The sequence below is a fragment of the Homo sapiens genome, chromosome 22 (assembly GCF_000001405.40).
Source record: "Homo sapiens chromosome 22, GRCh38.p14 Primary Assembly".
Classification (NCBI taxonomy): domain Eukaryota; kingdom Metazoa; phylum Chordata; class Mammalia; order Primates; family Hominidae; genus Homo; species Homo sapiens.
In genome coordinates this window covers 25,086,878-25,101,548 of record NC_000022.11, presented here as the reverse complement: position 1 = coordinate 25,101,548, position 14,671 = coordinate 25,086,878, and the positions used below count along the sequence as shown (strand labels likewise).

At 49.3% G+C, this 14,671-nt stretch overlaps 1 protein-coding gene across 7 annotated transcripts in view, besides 1 other annotated feature; it reads right to left on the bottom strand.

The window, feature by feature from the left end:
- KIAA1671 overlaps positions 1–14,671 on the bottom strand; it is a 244,733-nt gene that overhangs the window by 95,900 nt on the left and 134,162 nt on the right. The window lies entirely within an intron of this gene.
- Positions 2,134–2,653: an enhancer, noted in NCBI's record as "H3K4me1 hESC enhancer chr22:25494863-25495382 (GRCh37/hg19 assembly coordinates)". NCBI's record gives its function as "activates a minimal SCP1, AML or CMV promoter by ChIP-STARR-seq in primed H9 embryonic stem cells {active_cell/tissue: H9 hESC(primed)}" and the evidence as "EXISTENCE:reporter gene assay evidence [ECO:0000049][PMID:30033119]".

Genomic DNA, 14,671 nt, shown 5'->3' with positions numbered 1-14,671 from the left:
AGTGACCTAAGATGTCTTTAACCTTGGGATGAGCAATCAATCAATCAATCAATCAATAAAAATCATCTAGCAAGGAAATCTTTCTAGAAACAGACAGAAACTCATCACCTTTCTTTATCAGGCCCCACCCTCAGCTCAAGTAGAAAGCAGCGTTTTCCATGCTGTGGAGAGTCTGCCATGTGGCCCTGCCTGGCATGGCAAAGCCAATCTGTAATTACAGCCCCTCTTCCAAGAGCCAGGCCTCTTACAAGGCTGCAAACCCTGGCCTTCTCTAAAATGGAAAAAGGCAGGCGGCAGGCCCCCACCTAATTCCCCTGCCTGACTTATCTCCCTGGGCCACCCGGTGGTTCTGGGGGCAATCAGACCCTGGGAAAGAGGAGGGGAGCTCTGCTGGTATCTTTGGCCACACTGCCTGGGGCTGGACAACACGTTTCTTTCCACCACAGCGACTGAAGTTCCATACTGTTGGCTCGGTTAGCAAAACAAAGCAAGATGTTCTTGGGAAACAACAAATGAGAAATGGGATAAGGAACACATGACCTCCCCTAAGCAATGTATTTCTGACCAGTGAGTTTGCTTTACTTGGCTGAACTGCCCTCTAAGCAACACTCCGAGATTATAAAGGTCTCCATGAGTATCATAAAAGATTGAAAAAATGAGAAGGCCTTTCTGGCCTTCTTTCCTTGCTTCCTCCCTCCCATCCTTCTGACTTCAACAGGCACTTTCTTGAGTGTCTACTATGAACCAGGTACTATAGCAGGGAAGCCAAAGACCCAATCCCTAGCCTGTGCAACTATTTTACTTGGGGTTTGTAGTAAGCATAGTCTCAACTCACAGTAGCTGTCATTCACCAAGGGCCTACTGTGCGCCCTACTGCCTCGTTGACAGGTATAACCCAGGAAGGCTGTAATCTCCATTGTACAGATGGGACAACAGAGGCTCTGGACAATGACATCACTAGTCCAAGTCATGCATCTGCTATGTGCAGAGCTGTGACACAACCCACGGCTGGGTGGAACTCAAAGCCTGGGCCCTTAACCACCGGGCTACCCTGCCCCTGTGAATACCCCCATTTGTGTCAGCTGGATTATGGGGTACAGAAGATGTGGTCATAGGAGGGAAGACCTTGCCCTGTGTTCCTCCTCCCTTCCACTCCATTTGGCTTTCTCCCACTCACACTTAGATTGGTTGTGAACCCCAACTGAAGCCTGATGGTGAAAAACACAAGGTTCACCAACATGGCTTTGGGGACCCCCTCCCATACTCAGTTCTGACGAAAACTCAACCACATCGACAGCTCCAGTGACCAGCAGGTCTGGGTGGCCTCAGAGGGCATCTTCCATGCCCTCCTGCCCAGGCTGAATGGAGAGGAAGAGCCAGGCTCTGCCCCACACCACTGTGGGGCCCCAGGCAATGCTCCCCTCCTCTCTGGGACGTGATTCCCCAAGGGGGTTACCCAGGAAGACCACAGGAAAGACCAACTCAAAATCCTCCACCTTCCTCTGCAAGGCCACCAGACCCAGTTACAAATACTGTATGGCCTGGGGCCCTTGCACCACCTTCTCCTGCCTCAGCTGCCTCCTTTTGCAGATGGAAATCATGACACCTACCTCCCAGGTATCAGTGCAAGCCAAGAGCACACAGGAGGCCCCCAGCAACAGGCATGGATATTCCAATGGGGACTGCCCCATTGGAATCCCACCATTGGAACGAGTGTGGCTTAAGTACCCATATTTGGCCAGGTGCGGTGGCTCACACCTGTAATACCAGTACCTCGGGAGGCCGAGGCGGGTGGATCATGAGGTCAGGAGTTCGAGACCAGCCTGACCAACATGGTGAAACCCCATCTCTACTAAAAATACAAAAATTAGCCAGGTATGGTGGCGCACACCTGTGAACCCGGGAGGCAGAGGTTGCAGTGAGCCAAGGTTGCACCACTGCACTCCAACCTAGGTGACTGAGCGAGACTCTATCTAAAAAAAAAAAAAAAAAAAAAAAAAAAACAAAAAAACCCACATTTTGAAAGACAAACTTATAAAGAGAAATGCCCCCCTTCCCCAGGCTAAATCAACACTCATCCAAAGGCTGCTCCGATAGGGTACATGTTTCCTAAGAGCTGACAGGACATATTGTGTGTGCCAGGCCCCACATCATCTCATGTCATCCTCACAAGCACGGTTTAGGGCAGGGCTCCAAAGTCTGACTGCCTGGCCCTCCAGCTCCTTGCTATGTGATCCTGGGCAAGTAGCTTACCTTCTCTGAGCCTCACCTTCTCTGCCTTTAAAAGGGGAGAAAAACGGTACCCTTCTTACCAGTGGTGGTAACATATGCTCTGACCAACTCATGGGAACAAAACAAGCATCCCCACTGTGCAGAGAAGAAAACTGAGGCAGAGAGTGAAGGCTGGAGATTGTGCAGCGGCTTAGTGGCAAAGTCTGACTTGGAGGCCTGTGCTCAACAGCTTCCACTCTCTGGGCAAGGCAACAGTGGTACCACGCCCCACCCCCGTCATTTCCATCACTCAGCTGTGCAGCCCCCACCTCTCTCTCATCTCATAGCTGCTGTGAGGAATGGTCTCCACTTGCAGAGCACGCCTCCACACAGGAGTGCTTTCTCCTGACCCAGCTGGAGGTCTGTTCTCACATACCTTGCTTCTCTGCACATGGGGAGCCTCTCTTTTGCGCCACCCACGCTGTTCCAGGAGCCATGCTGGGGTGGGCGGAGAGGGCAGGGAATGGGGCAGCCAGGCAGCCCTGGCATCTTGACAAAGGGGTGTCACTCCACAGGTCCCCATGGCAGCCCATCTTTTGGGTACAATGCACATTCCACAGCCTCAGAGTCCTAGACCTTGGGCTAGCCTAGATTTAGTCTCTTCCAGAGCCCCTGGCATCAGGGCAATCAGAGCAAACCCCCCCCCGCCCCCTCCACCCAGTTGTTTCCAACCCAGAGCTGCCTGCAGATCCTACGCAGCCTTGATGCTTCTTGCTTCTGAGTCACAGCTCTAAGGTTACTCTCCAGACCCTATCACAGCACCCTTCCGCTTACACTTTAATAATTACAATTACTTGGTATTTCCCTAATTGTTTATTTATTACTGTCCCTCTAAGGAAGGCTTATAAGAACAGAAATCTTCTATGTCTTAGTCTCTGCTATTGCCCCCTGTCCCTGGCACACTGGAGGCATTCGGTAAGTCTTTGTTGAATGGATAAATGAATGAAGTAAAGAAGGGAACGAAAGGGGAGAGAGAGGAGGGGAGGGGAGGGGATGGAAGAACTACTATTTGCCTTCTCTTCCCTGCCCCTTTCTCTGGCCAATTTCTACTTTGTGCTGATGTCACCACCTCCAGGAAGCCTTCTCTGCTGCTCTCTCCTCCAAGTAAAGTGCCTTCTCTGTGCTCAACTCCTGGGCTTCTCCCATCACAGTGTTCTCTTTGCCATTTTGTAAGTGTCAATTTTCACAACCCTCTGCCTACCAAATCCTGGCCAAGGGGACCTGGGGGCAAGTCTGCTGGGTGGACTACAGGGAGAAGTCTTCCTCGTGATGCACCCTCCTCCTTGGTGGGATGTTGTCCGGGCTCCTGAGGATGGCTGGAACTGTGGCAGCCATTTGGGGACCATGAGGGAATAAGATGCCAAGAAAAGTGTAGGAAGATGGGAAGAACCTGGGTGGATCTATGCATCCAGGACTTGGAAAACTTCCTGTAAAGGGCCATATGGTAAATATTTCAGGTGTTGCAAGTCATATGCAGTCTCTGTCATACCTTCTTTGTGTTTTGAGTGGTTTTTGGTTTATTTTACGATTTTTTTTTTTTTATGGAGTCTCGCACTGTTGCCCAGGCTGGAGTGCAATGGCGCGATCTCGGCTCACTGCAAGCTCCGCCTCCCAGGTTCACGCCATTCTCCTGCCTCAGCCTCCCGAGTAGCTGGGACTACAGGCACCCGCCATCACACCCAGCTAATTTTTTGTATTTTTAGTAGAGACGGGGTTTCACCATGTTAGCCAGGATGGTCTCCATCTCCTGACCTCGTGATCCATCTGCCTCAGCCTCCCAAAGTGCTGGGATTACAGGCGTGAGCCACTGCACCCAGCCTACAACCTTTTGAAGGTGCAAAACTCCTTCTTGGTTCACAGGCCATAGTTTGCCGAACCCCATACTAATACCAGCTGGTGAACTGTGCGAGGTAATACACGTCCTTATTGTCAGACCCATTTTTATGGGGGTCTTTGTTACTTTCAGCATCTCTACTGATGAAACAACACCATTGTACCAAATGACAATGGTGAGGATGTGGAGCAACTGGGCCTCTCATACCCTGAGGGTGGGAGTGCAAAATGCTACAAATACTTTGACAGGGTTTGGCAGTTTCTTAACAAGTTTATCATACACTTACCATATGATAAGGCCGTCTCACTTGTAGGTATTTACCCAAGAGAAACGAGAGCATTTGTCCATACAAAGACTTGTATAGGAATGTTCATAGCAGCTTCATTCATAATAGCTCTAAACTGGAATCAACTCAAATGCCGGTCAACAAGAGAAGGGATGAATACACTGGCACATCCATGCAATGGAAAAGTGCTCTGATAAAGGGAACGAGTTATTGATATGTGCCTCAACGTGAACACATCTCAAAATAATTATGCTAAGTGAGAGACACTGATGAAGAAGACTGCAGAGTGCACGGCTCCGTTCACGTGCATGTCTACAACACACAGACTAATCCACAGTGGCAGAAAGCAGATCATGGTTGCTTGAGGACAGGATGGAAGGAGGGGTGGATTCCAAAGAGGCAGGAGCAGGCCTCAGGGAGTGTGGAACGTGCTTATTATTTTCACTGCCGTGACGGTTCCACGGGAATACACATACGTCAAAACTCATCAGATTGTACACTTGAAACGTTGTTTATTGTATGTCAATTAGGGTTTTTCAGAACTGTTAAAAAATAATAATGGTGTTGGCTCTTGTAATAGGCAGAACTTTGAGGGCAAAGGACATGGGATGGGAATGTCTTAGACAAATGGGAAACACCCAAAGACCAGCGGACGGGCAACAGGGAGGGAAGATGGAAGCCTGAGAAGCCAGGGGCCCCACAAGATCTTGTGTGTCTTGAGTGACTGCTAAGACCACCTCTGTCCACTCCTACGTAGCTGAGGACGAGTGAGACCAGGCTCCTCAGCTACTTTGGTGAACAGGCACAGAGAGGCAGCCCTCGGAGACAGCCCGTGGACAAGCGGCTGTAACTGCCACTGCCACCCTGACCCCAGTGGGGCGAAGGAGCCTCAAGGCCCTGTGTGGGCTGTGCCAAACAGCCACAAGCACTTTTTGGAGTTCTGAGATGCTAGAGTTGGTGTGTCGAGTGTCAGGTTCGCCGTGTACCCTGCAGATGGTCTCTCCTCATCTGACAAGGCCGGGGACACACAACAGAATTCCTCAGGAGCTCTAGGCTTTTTCTCCCCGACTCATCACAGAGAGGACAGGAAGAACTCCCAGCTTAGCTCCCCAACTACCATCTGCGGCAGGCAGGGAACACATCTGGCTCTGCAGCTCCAAATCCTCCCTCTCCGTCTGATCCCAGGGACAGTGCTATTGCTGTCAGGCCCAGCAGAAAACCTAGGCTTCCTCCATTGGGTGCTGCACCTTCAAAGAAATTTTTTATCTTGGCTACAGAAGAACAGGAGCAGAAACAAGGGAGGAGAAAGCCGAAGGCTAACCAGAACGGTGAGGTCATGCTAAGTCAAAAAGGATCAGGAAACAGAACCATGAAAAGGAGCAAAGATGAGGTTGTGCGAGATTGGGCATAAGGGGATGAATCTAGGGGGGCTTAGCAGTCATCAGTATTCCTACAGCTTATCATCATTTACATGTTTCTTGATTTTTGTTTTGTTTTTGTTTTTTTTGAGATGTGGCCTCACACTGTTGCCCAGGCTGGAGTGCAGTGGCGCGACCTCAGCTCACTGCAAGCTCCACCTCCTGGGTTCACGTCATTCTCCTGCCTCAGCCTCCCGAGTAGCTGGCACTACAGGTGCCCGCCACCATGCCTGGCTAATTTTTTATATTTTTAGTAGACATGGGGTTTCACCATGTTAGCCAGGATGGTCTTGATCTCCTGACCTTGTGATCCACCCTCTTCAGCCTCCCAAAGTGCTGGGATTACAGGCGTGAGCCACAGTGCCCGGCCTCTTGATGTTCTTTTAGAGATGCATAGCATTTGTAATTTTTATTGTTTTTTGCTCCCAGATGCTGGAATGTGAGTCTGTGCAGAGACTGGACCGCACGGCACCCTGCCTTTCATAAGAACCACACCTACCTTTCCCCACAGAATCTCCAGAATCACAGAGTGAACTGGATGGTACCTCTGCCATTTTACAGAGGGGGAAACTGAGGTTCAGAGATGTTCGGTGTTGTGCTCAAGGTCACTCAGCTAGGAAATGACTGCATGAGGCCTGGACCTGGGCTTGTCTGGTCTGAAGGCTGGTGAACTTTTGTATATACACTCTGGAGGGGGCCTTCCTCATGTCTCAAGAAACACCACCTGAGACAGACTCAGCGCACTCATATCTGTCTGTTTTGTCTACTACAGTATCCCCACTCCTTAAAACACTCAATAAAGAGCTGGGGAACAAACAAGTGGACATAGCAAATAATGATGCTCAGCGAGAATCAGAGGGAGGGAGGAGGGAGAGAGAGGAAGGAAGGGCTGGCTTCCTGATGCTCCCAGATCCACCCAGGACACAGGCTGTGCTCATGAAAACACAAAGTCGTGAGAATGCGGATGTGTACCTCCTGGGGCCAGGCTCAGACGGTAATGGTGACACCTCTTCCTAAGTGTTCATTTTCACAATCACCTTTCTCAAGGCACATGACATATTTTCTTACAACGCTGTCTGGAGCTTTAATCCTACCTCCCTAAGACCTTTCAGAAAGAAAAGGAGGCCTGGAGAGGCTGCTGGAGGAAGGCCCGGGGGTTATGCTGCATCAGCCTTCACTAAAATGAACTCACTGGTCCCATTCTGCTCCTTCTTCAAGTTCTCTTGAGGGGTGTTCTCACTCTCACCTTTTACTTCCCACCCCAGGGCCTGCTTGCCTCCCACCTGCTGAGGGGCCTTGGACAGACCTGGGCCTGTGTCCTCTCAGCCAACAAGGAGGGGTTGCCATGATGATCTATAAGGGCCCTTCAGGTCTCCATCCCGGATTCATTCACTCCACAAAGCCACCCTGGGGGTCTGCATGTACCACCCGCAGCACAACACGCCAGTCCCTCTGGAGGGAGCTCTGGAGGGCTCCAAGCTCTGGGCAAATGACCCACACCTGCATTTAAACTGGGCCTCCCTGCTCCCGTTTAACCACCATTCATCCCAAGTCTCAAGAAGGCAACAGAAAATGCCCTGTTTGGAGCTTTGACAGAAAAACTCCTCTCTCAAGAAGGTCTGAGTTGATGGTTCGCTTTCTTCGAAAACAAGAACGATGCTTTAAGTTGGGAGCAGCCTTCGTGTTTGGATGTGGACACCTATACAGTCCTCAGGGTGGCCCCATATATCTCTCTGTCCTCCCTCCCTTCTTTAACCCAAAGTGAGAAGTCCTGGGAGGCAAGGCGGGGGCTGGCAAAGTGCCTGCAAACCAGCATCACTGTCAGGAGCAGAAGCAGAAGCAGAAGCAGAAGGGAGAGAGAGAGAGAGAGAGAGAGAGAGAGAGAGAGAGAGAGAGAGAGACAGACAGAGAGAGAAAGAGAGAGAGACAGAGAGAGAGAGAGAGAGAGAGAGAGAGAGAGAGAGAGAGAGACAGAGAGAGAGAGAGAGAGAGAGAGAGAGAGTGTGTGTGTGTGTGTGTGTGTGTGTGTGTGTGTGTGTGTGTGTGTGTGTGTGTGTCGGGGGGCAGGGAAGATCCCGGTACCTCTCCATTCTTACTCAAACAACTGATTTTCAGGGTATAATAATAACTGCCTCCCCGCTCCCCACCAAGTGTTCTCATTTCAAAATGGACTTAATGAGATCCCTTGGAGGAAGGACTTCTCCAAGCAATTGAACACACTGTGCAGTAATGAACTGCCAGCAGTGAGTGTCACTTAATGGAAACCAAGTGGACAGAAACAGGTCAGGGGAGGGAGTGGCTGTCCCTTAGGCACCTATTGTGCCTGAGCACAGTGCTAGGCACTCTATAGGGGTTGCCATCCATTATTTTATGGCATTCCACTAACAGCCCTGCAAGGTCTTGTCTCTCCTCTTGAAAGATGAGAAATCTGAGCCTCTGATCTGGTTCCTAGGCTGTGAAGCATAGCTAGGCTGCCTGCTCAAAACTGGCCCCTCCACCAATGCGCTGTGGACTTCAGACAAGTTACTGCACCTCTGAGTTTCAGTCTCCTCATCTGTAAATGGGGATAACAATAGCGATTGCTTTGTAGGGTTTGTGTGAGGGTTGTGTGAGACACTGCCTAGAGATTACCTAGCACACAGTAAGTGCTCAATGAACATAGTCACTTGCCGGCTGGACTTAAACCCAGGAACCTGTCTGCTTCCAAAACTCAGTAAATTCTCTTTCCACTAATCTGCAACTCCCCCATCCATACTCAGCTGGTGACCTTGAGCTCACCCTCCCTGTTCCCTGCATCTGGGAGGCCACCCTGACTCCCTCCAGTGCAGGGGGCCGAGGGGCCACACTCACAGCCCAGGCCAGCCTCTCCTCTTGTGCTCTGATGCCATCTCTTCCCACCAACTCGCAACAGCTCCCCTGCATCTAAAGCTGCTCCCTCCACACTCTTTTCCCTGTTGCAGTAAAATTTGGCACCACTCGCCTGTTATTCGGGCCAGACACTGGGGACCCTCCGTAGTTCCTCTTCTCCCCAGATCTTCCAATCCATTCCCATGGCTTGAATTTGAAACTACAGCCTGAACCCGATCACTTCTCCTTGCTTCCCATCCCACCCCAGCACTGGACCCAAGTCCCCACTGCCACTGGCCTCCCTGCTTTACCTCCTGCCCCTCCAGTCCACTCCCCACACATCAGCCTGGCTGGGCTTGACAGTTCTCCATCCTACGAGGTTAGCCTCCACCAAAAATGCTCCCTCATCTCTCCACTACAGCCAGAATAAACTCTACATATTCTGCCCTGGCCCACAAGGCTCCCACTTGCTTCCCCTACTTGCTCAATGGAAGGCTGGCAATATTGGCCTTACTATGCCTCAACCTGTCTCAGCTTGTTCCCAATGCAGGGCCTTTGCACGTGCTGTTCCCTCTGCCTGCAGCCTCCTTCCCCACATCCCTGCGTGGCTGGCTCCTTCCCTCAGGGCTCCACCCAAATTTTATTCCAGTCACGCTTCCTCCCAGTCTCATCACCTGTTTTATTGTCACATCATTCTGTTTCCTTGTCTTCATGCATTTATCTGTATTTGGAATTATTTATCTTTCATATATATTAGCTGTCTCTCCCACTAGAACACACACTCAGCCAGGGCAGGAATTGTTTTTCGTATTCCCCTCTGATGCTTGGTGACTATAACAGCGTCGGGCACAGAGAAAAGACTCAATACGTATTTGTTGAGTGGATAAACAAAGGAGTAAATGAATGACCAAATAAACTAAAGGATGAATAAATGAACACACACACAAGCCAAACTCTATGGGGCTGTACTTGTCCATCTCTACAACAGAGGTGGTAACCCCAACACCCACAAGACGGTGATGAAGATGAACCCTGATGAACCAGAGCCTAGGAGATGCTCAATAAATCCTTGCTGGTTGAAGCATTTCAGTCAGCGGGGGCTCAGCAGCGGGCATCTCCTCTCAACCCCTTACTGAATAAAATGCATTTAATAGTCAAAATCCTGTAACGGAGATACAGCAATTGAAGGCCCAAGGAAGAACGCATGTGAGAACATGATTCACTGTATTACCCGTAGCCATGGCAACTGAAATCTTCAAGCGCAGTTCCGCCTCGCTTTAGTTTTCTATGCAGAAATTTCTAAAGGAAATGTTCAGATTTCTATCTCTGCTGATATAGAATAGGCATTCTCATTTGGCTTGGAGAGGAAAAATGCAAAATACCAGATTCCCATAAGGTAAACTGGTTTACGAAGAAAGAAGAGTTTTGTTTTTGGCAGCGTGAGTTCAATTCTGAGAGGTAGAACAAAATCATCTTCATCATCATCACCATCATCAACAAACAAACAACACCTTTGCTTGAAATAGAATGGACCAGGCCAGGTACGGTGGCTCATGCCTGTAATCCCAGCATTTTGGGAGGCCAAGGTGGGTGGATCACCTGAGGTTAGGAGTTCGAGACCAGCCTGGCCAACATGGTGAAACCCCATCTCTACTAAAAATACAAAAATTAGCCAGACATGGTGGTGGGCGCCTGTAATTCCAGCTACTCGGGAGGCTGAGGCAGGAGAATCGCTTGAACATGGGAGGCAAAGGTTGCAGTGAGCCAAAATCACGCCACTGTACTCCAGCCTGGGTGACAGAGCAAGACTCCATCTCAAAAAAAAATGGACTAGTACTTTATCTAACCTTCACTCATTCACGCAGTCATTTAAGAAGAGTTCACTGATTGCCTACTGTGTTCCAGGCCCTGTGCTAGACTCCAGGGATACAGCAGTGAACCAAGACAGATGAGGATCCCTGCCCTTGTGGAGCCTGCAGTCCAATAGGACAGATGTCCAATGGAAGAACATTCACAGCATGGAATTCCCAATAAGGAATAGTGGAGAGAAACACAGTAGAACAGAAAGACAGCCCTGTGGGATAACAGAGCCACCATCCATTGGTTTTGTGACCTTGGGCAAGTCACTACACATGTCTGAGCCTGTGATAAAATGATGATAACAATATTGCTTGATGAAGGTGCTACGTGTACCCAATGAGATGACAGAAAAAGTGCCTTGTGTGGTGTCTGATATGCAGCAAGCACCCAGTAACTAGTCATTCTTCTTGCCTTACAGAGGCAGAAGGGGCCAGCCCCTGGCTGTTTCTCTCGACAAGGCCTCAGAAAAGTTCTCCGAGTGTGGGGTTTTCCCAAAGGACTGCCTATGTTCTAAAGGACTGAGGGAGTCTGGGAGACATTTGAGATTTCAACTTTCAAAATAAATGTGCAGGAAAGGCCAGGGAAGAGGAAACAGATTAACCTAACAGCTACCCAGATAACAAATGAGGCCAGAGTCCTGAACATGTTTAGGGTGGGGTCCCAGCTAAATTCTCCAAAATATGAGGATGGAGGATGCTGAGAACAGCCTGCCATTGTGGGCTTCTCACCACACCGGCCACGTGCAGGGTGAGACTGGAACTTCAGGGACTGACGAAAGAAATTACGGTCTCTCGACCGGCATAGCAGTAGAGCTAAGGGCTCCAGAGCTCAGCACACTCCAGTGCAAACCCTGAGGCCTGACAGCAAGAAAAGCCTGGTGGGCCAGAGACTTCTTCTAAGGAGCTGCCCGCACTCCCTGGATCCTCACAGATGGAGTGAAACCCTGGCAGAGGTGGGGGCATTTGAGCATCAGGCTGGAGCCCAGGAGCCAGGAGGCAGACAGCAGACCTGGTTTATGTCTGACAGCGCACCACCCTCTTCTCAGCTTCTAGCCTCTGTACCTACACACGCCGTTCTTTATGCCTGAGCATAGCTCCATCACCCCTGCCAGTCCCAGCCCACCTAGAAAACCCCTGTTCAATCTTTAGATGACCCAGAAAGGCCACGGCCAGGCATTTCTCCTGCAGCAAAACACACAAGGGCGCAAAGGTGTCTGCACAACAATGTTCACTGCAGAATTGTTTATAGTGCACGCAACTGGAAATGACCGACATGTCTGTCTAGAGGCAACTGGTTCAAAAAATTACAGTGCAAGGAAGAATATAAAGCCATTAACAAAGAATGGCATAGACCTATTATGCTGATATAGAAAAATCTCATCATTATGAGAAAAAGAAAAGTCAGGACATTGATAACTATGCATAGCAAGATCTGATTGTGTTAAAAATTAAACACACATGGCCGGGTGCGGTGGCTTATTCCTGTAATCCCAGCACTTTGAGAGGCTGAGGCGGGTGGATCACCTGAGGTTGGGAGTTCGAAACCAACCTGACCAACATGGATAAAACCCGTCTCTACTAAAAATACAAAATTAGCTGGGCATGGAGGTGAGTGCCTATAATCCCAGCTACTCGGGAGGCTGAGGCAGCAGAATTGCTTGAACCCGGGAGGCAGATGTTGCAGTGAGCCGAGATCGCGCCACTGCACTCCAGCCTGGGCAACAAGAGCAAAACTCTGTCTCCAAAAAAAAAAAAAAAAAAAAAAAATTAAACACACACACACAGGCACCCCTTGGTATCTGTGGGGGATTGGTTCCAGGACCCCCACAGATACATAAATCCACAGATGCTTAAGTCTCTTACATAAAATTGGGTAGTATTTGCATGGGACCTACACACATCCTCCTACACACATTAAATCATCTCTAGGTTTCTTATACCTAACACAATGTAAACACTAAGTAAATAGCTGTTATGCTGTATTGTTTAGGGAATAATGCCAAGAAAAGAAAAGTCAGTACATGTTCAGTACAGATACAACCATACATTTTTCTTCGAATGTTTTTGATCTATGGTTGGTTGAATCCACGGATACGGAAACCATGGATACAAAGGGCAAATTGTGCATGTGTGCGTGCACGTGTGTGTGTGTGTGTACATATGTACATATGGGAGGGTACAGACGCAGATATAGGCACAGACATTGTCTTATGTACGCAGAGAATATTTTCAAAAGGAGACACATGAACCTGTCACCAGTTTCCGGAGGAGGGGACTGCAGATTGGAGGTGATGGCAGGGAGACCAATTTCTCTTTAGAACACTGTTTTGCACTGTTGGAAATGTTAAACATGTCTGTGTATTACTTTTCCAATTAAAAAAAAGTTATTTATTTTTAATGTTTATTCATCACTTGTATTAAATGTTCTGTCCCTAAAAAGGTGACTTAAATTCCCTCCAGTGTGTGAAGACAGTCCAGTTACTGCATCATCACACGTGTATCCATTTATGTGTCTGTCACCCCTTCCTTAGTGGTGGGGAATGTGGTGGCCGCACCTCTGTACCCTTCTGCAGAGCCTGGCACCTGGTGGGTACTCAGTAAGTGTTTGAGGAATGAAAGACAACATTGGCCAGGCGTGGTGGCTCATGCCTGTAATCCCAGCACTTTGGGAGGCCAAGGCCAGTGGATTACCTAAGGTCAGGAGTTCAAGACCAGCCTGGCCAACATGGTGAAACCTGTCTCTACTAAGAATACAAAAATTAGCTGGGTGTGGTGGTGCACGCCTGTAATCCCAGTTACTCAGGAGGCTGAGGCACGAGGATCGCTTGAACCTCAGAGGCAGAGGTTGCAGTGAGCCGAGACTGCACCACTGCACTCCAGCCTGGGCGACGGGGTGAGACTCTGTCTCAAAAAAAAAAAAAAGAAAGAAAGAAAGAAAAGAAAGACATCATTAACACCAGTGAAACCACTTCCATCTTCTTAAGAGCTTTCATTTTACCAAATGACCACTCACAGAGCACCAACTACTCCATGCTAGCCAATTTATACCCAGCATCTCATTTAATTGAGTCAATACCCTGAAGCCTCGCTAAAGGTGGTAGATGCTGTTGGTTCCCTGCCAGATCTCCTTTATTGGCTGGGGCGCCCATTCCCCAGGTGCTGGGGGCTCTGGCTGCTATGGCTCACAGCCCCCTCTCCTCCAGACCGTGGGCAGTGGAGAAAAAGCTGCCCCAGTGCTCTGAAGTAGGACTTATTTTGTGATGCTGTTCACCCGCCAAAGCTCCTGAATGGACCACGTTGACTCAAGCTGTTGTCACTAAATCACATCCACACAAATCCCCACCTCAGAGTCTGCTTCTGGGAACCCGACCTGAGACACTGCTCTGCAAAATCAACAAGGTGACGCAGTTGTTTTTGTTGTTGTTGTTTGGTTGGTTGGTTGGTTTTTGAGATGGAGGAGTCTCGCTCTGTCTACCAGGCAGGAGTGCAGTGGCGTGATCTCGTCTCACTGCAACCTCCGCCTCCTAGGTTCAAGTGACTCTCCTGTCTCAGCCTCCTGAGTAGCTGGGTTATAGGCGCCCGCCACCATGCCTGCCTAATTTTTGTATTTTCAGTAGAGACAGGGTTTCATCACATTGGCCAGACTGGTCTCGAACTCCTGAGATCAGGTAATCCACCACCTCGGCCTCCCGAAGTATTGGGATTACAGGCATGAGCCACTGTGCCCAGCAGGAACACAGTTTTTTAAACTGTTTCTGGGTATCCACTGATTCCAAACTAAATCTCTAAGAGTGGGCAGATTCAGCATGAGAAGTTTGGAAAAGCAAGACATGTAGCTGAGGTTGGTAAATAAGATCCCGGAGGCAGCGGCGGGGTGGGGGGTGGGAGGGGCAGAATAAAGGTTTATTATGCCCATTTTACAGATGAGAAAAACTGAGGCTCACATAAGTGATTTTTGTTGTCATGGATTCTAAATTTGAAGTCAAAGAGGTAGATTTGAACCCTGTTCCGTTGCACCCCAAAGCCTTAACTCTTCTCTCCATGCCTACTGCTCAGCTGTTTGGGGGTTAACAGGCCTGGCCAGTGCTGAACATGGTAACTTTAGGCTGGCTGTGAGTAGAACATTCCCCGGCTTTACTTGCCTGGTGCAAGCTGC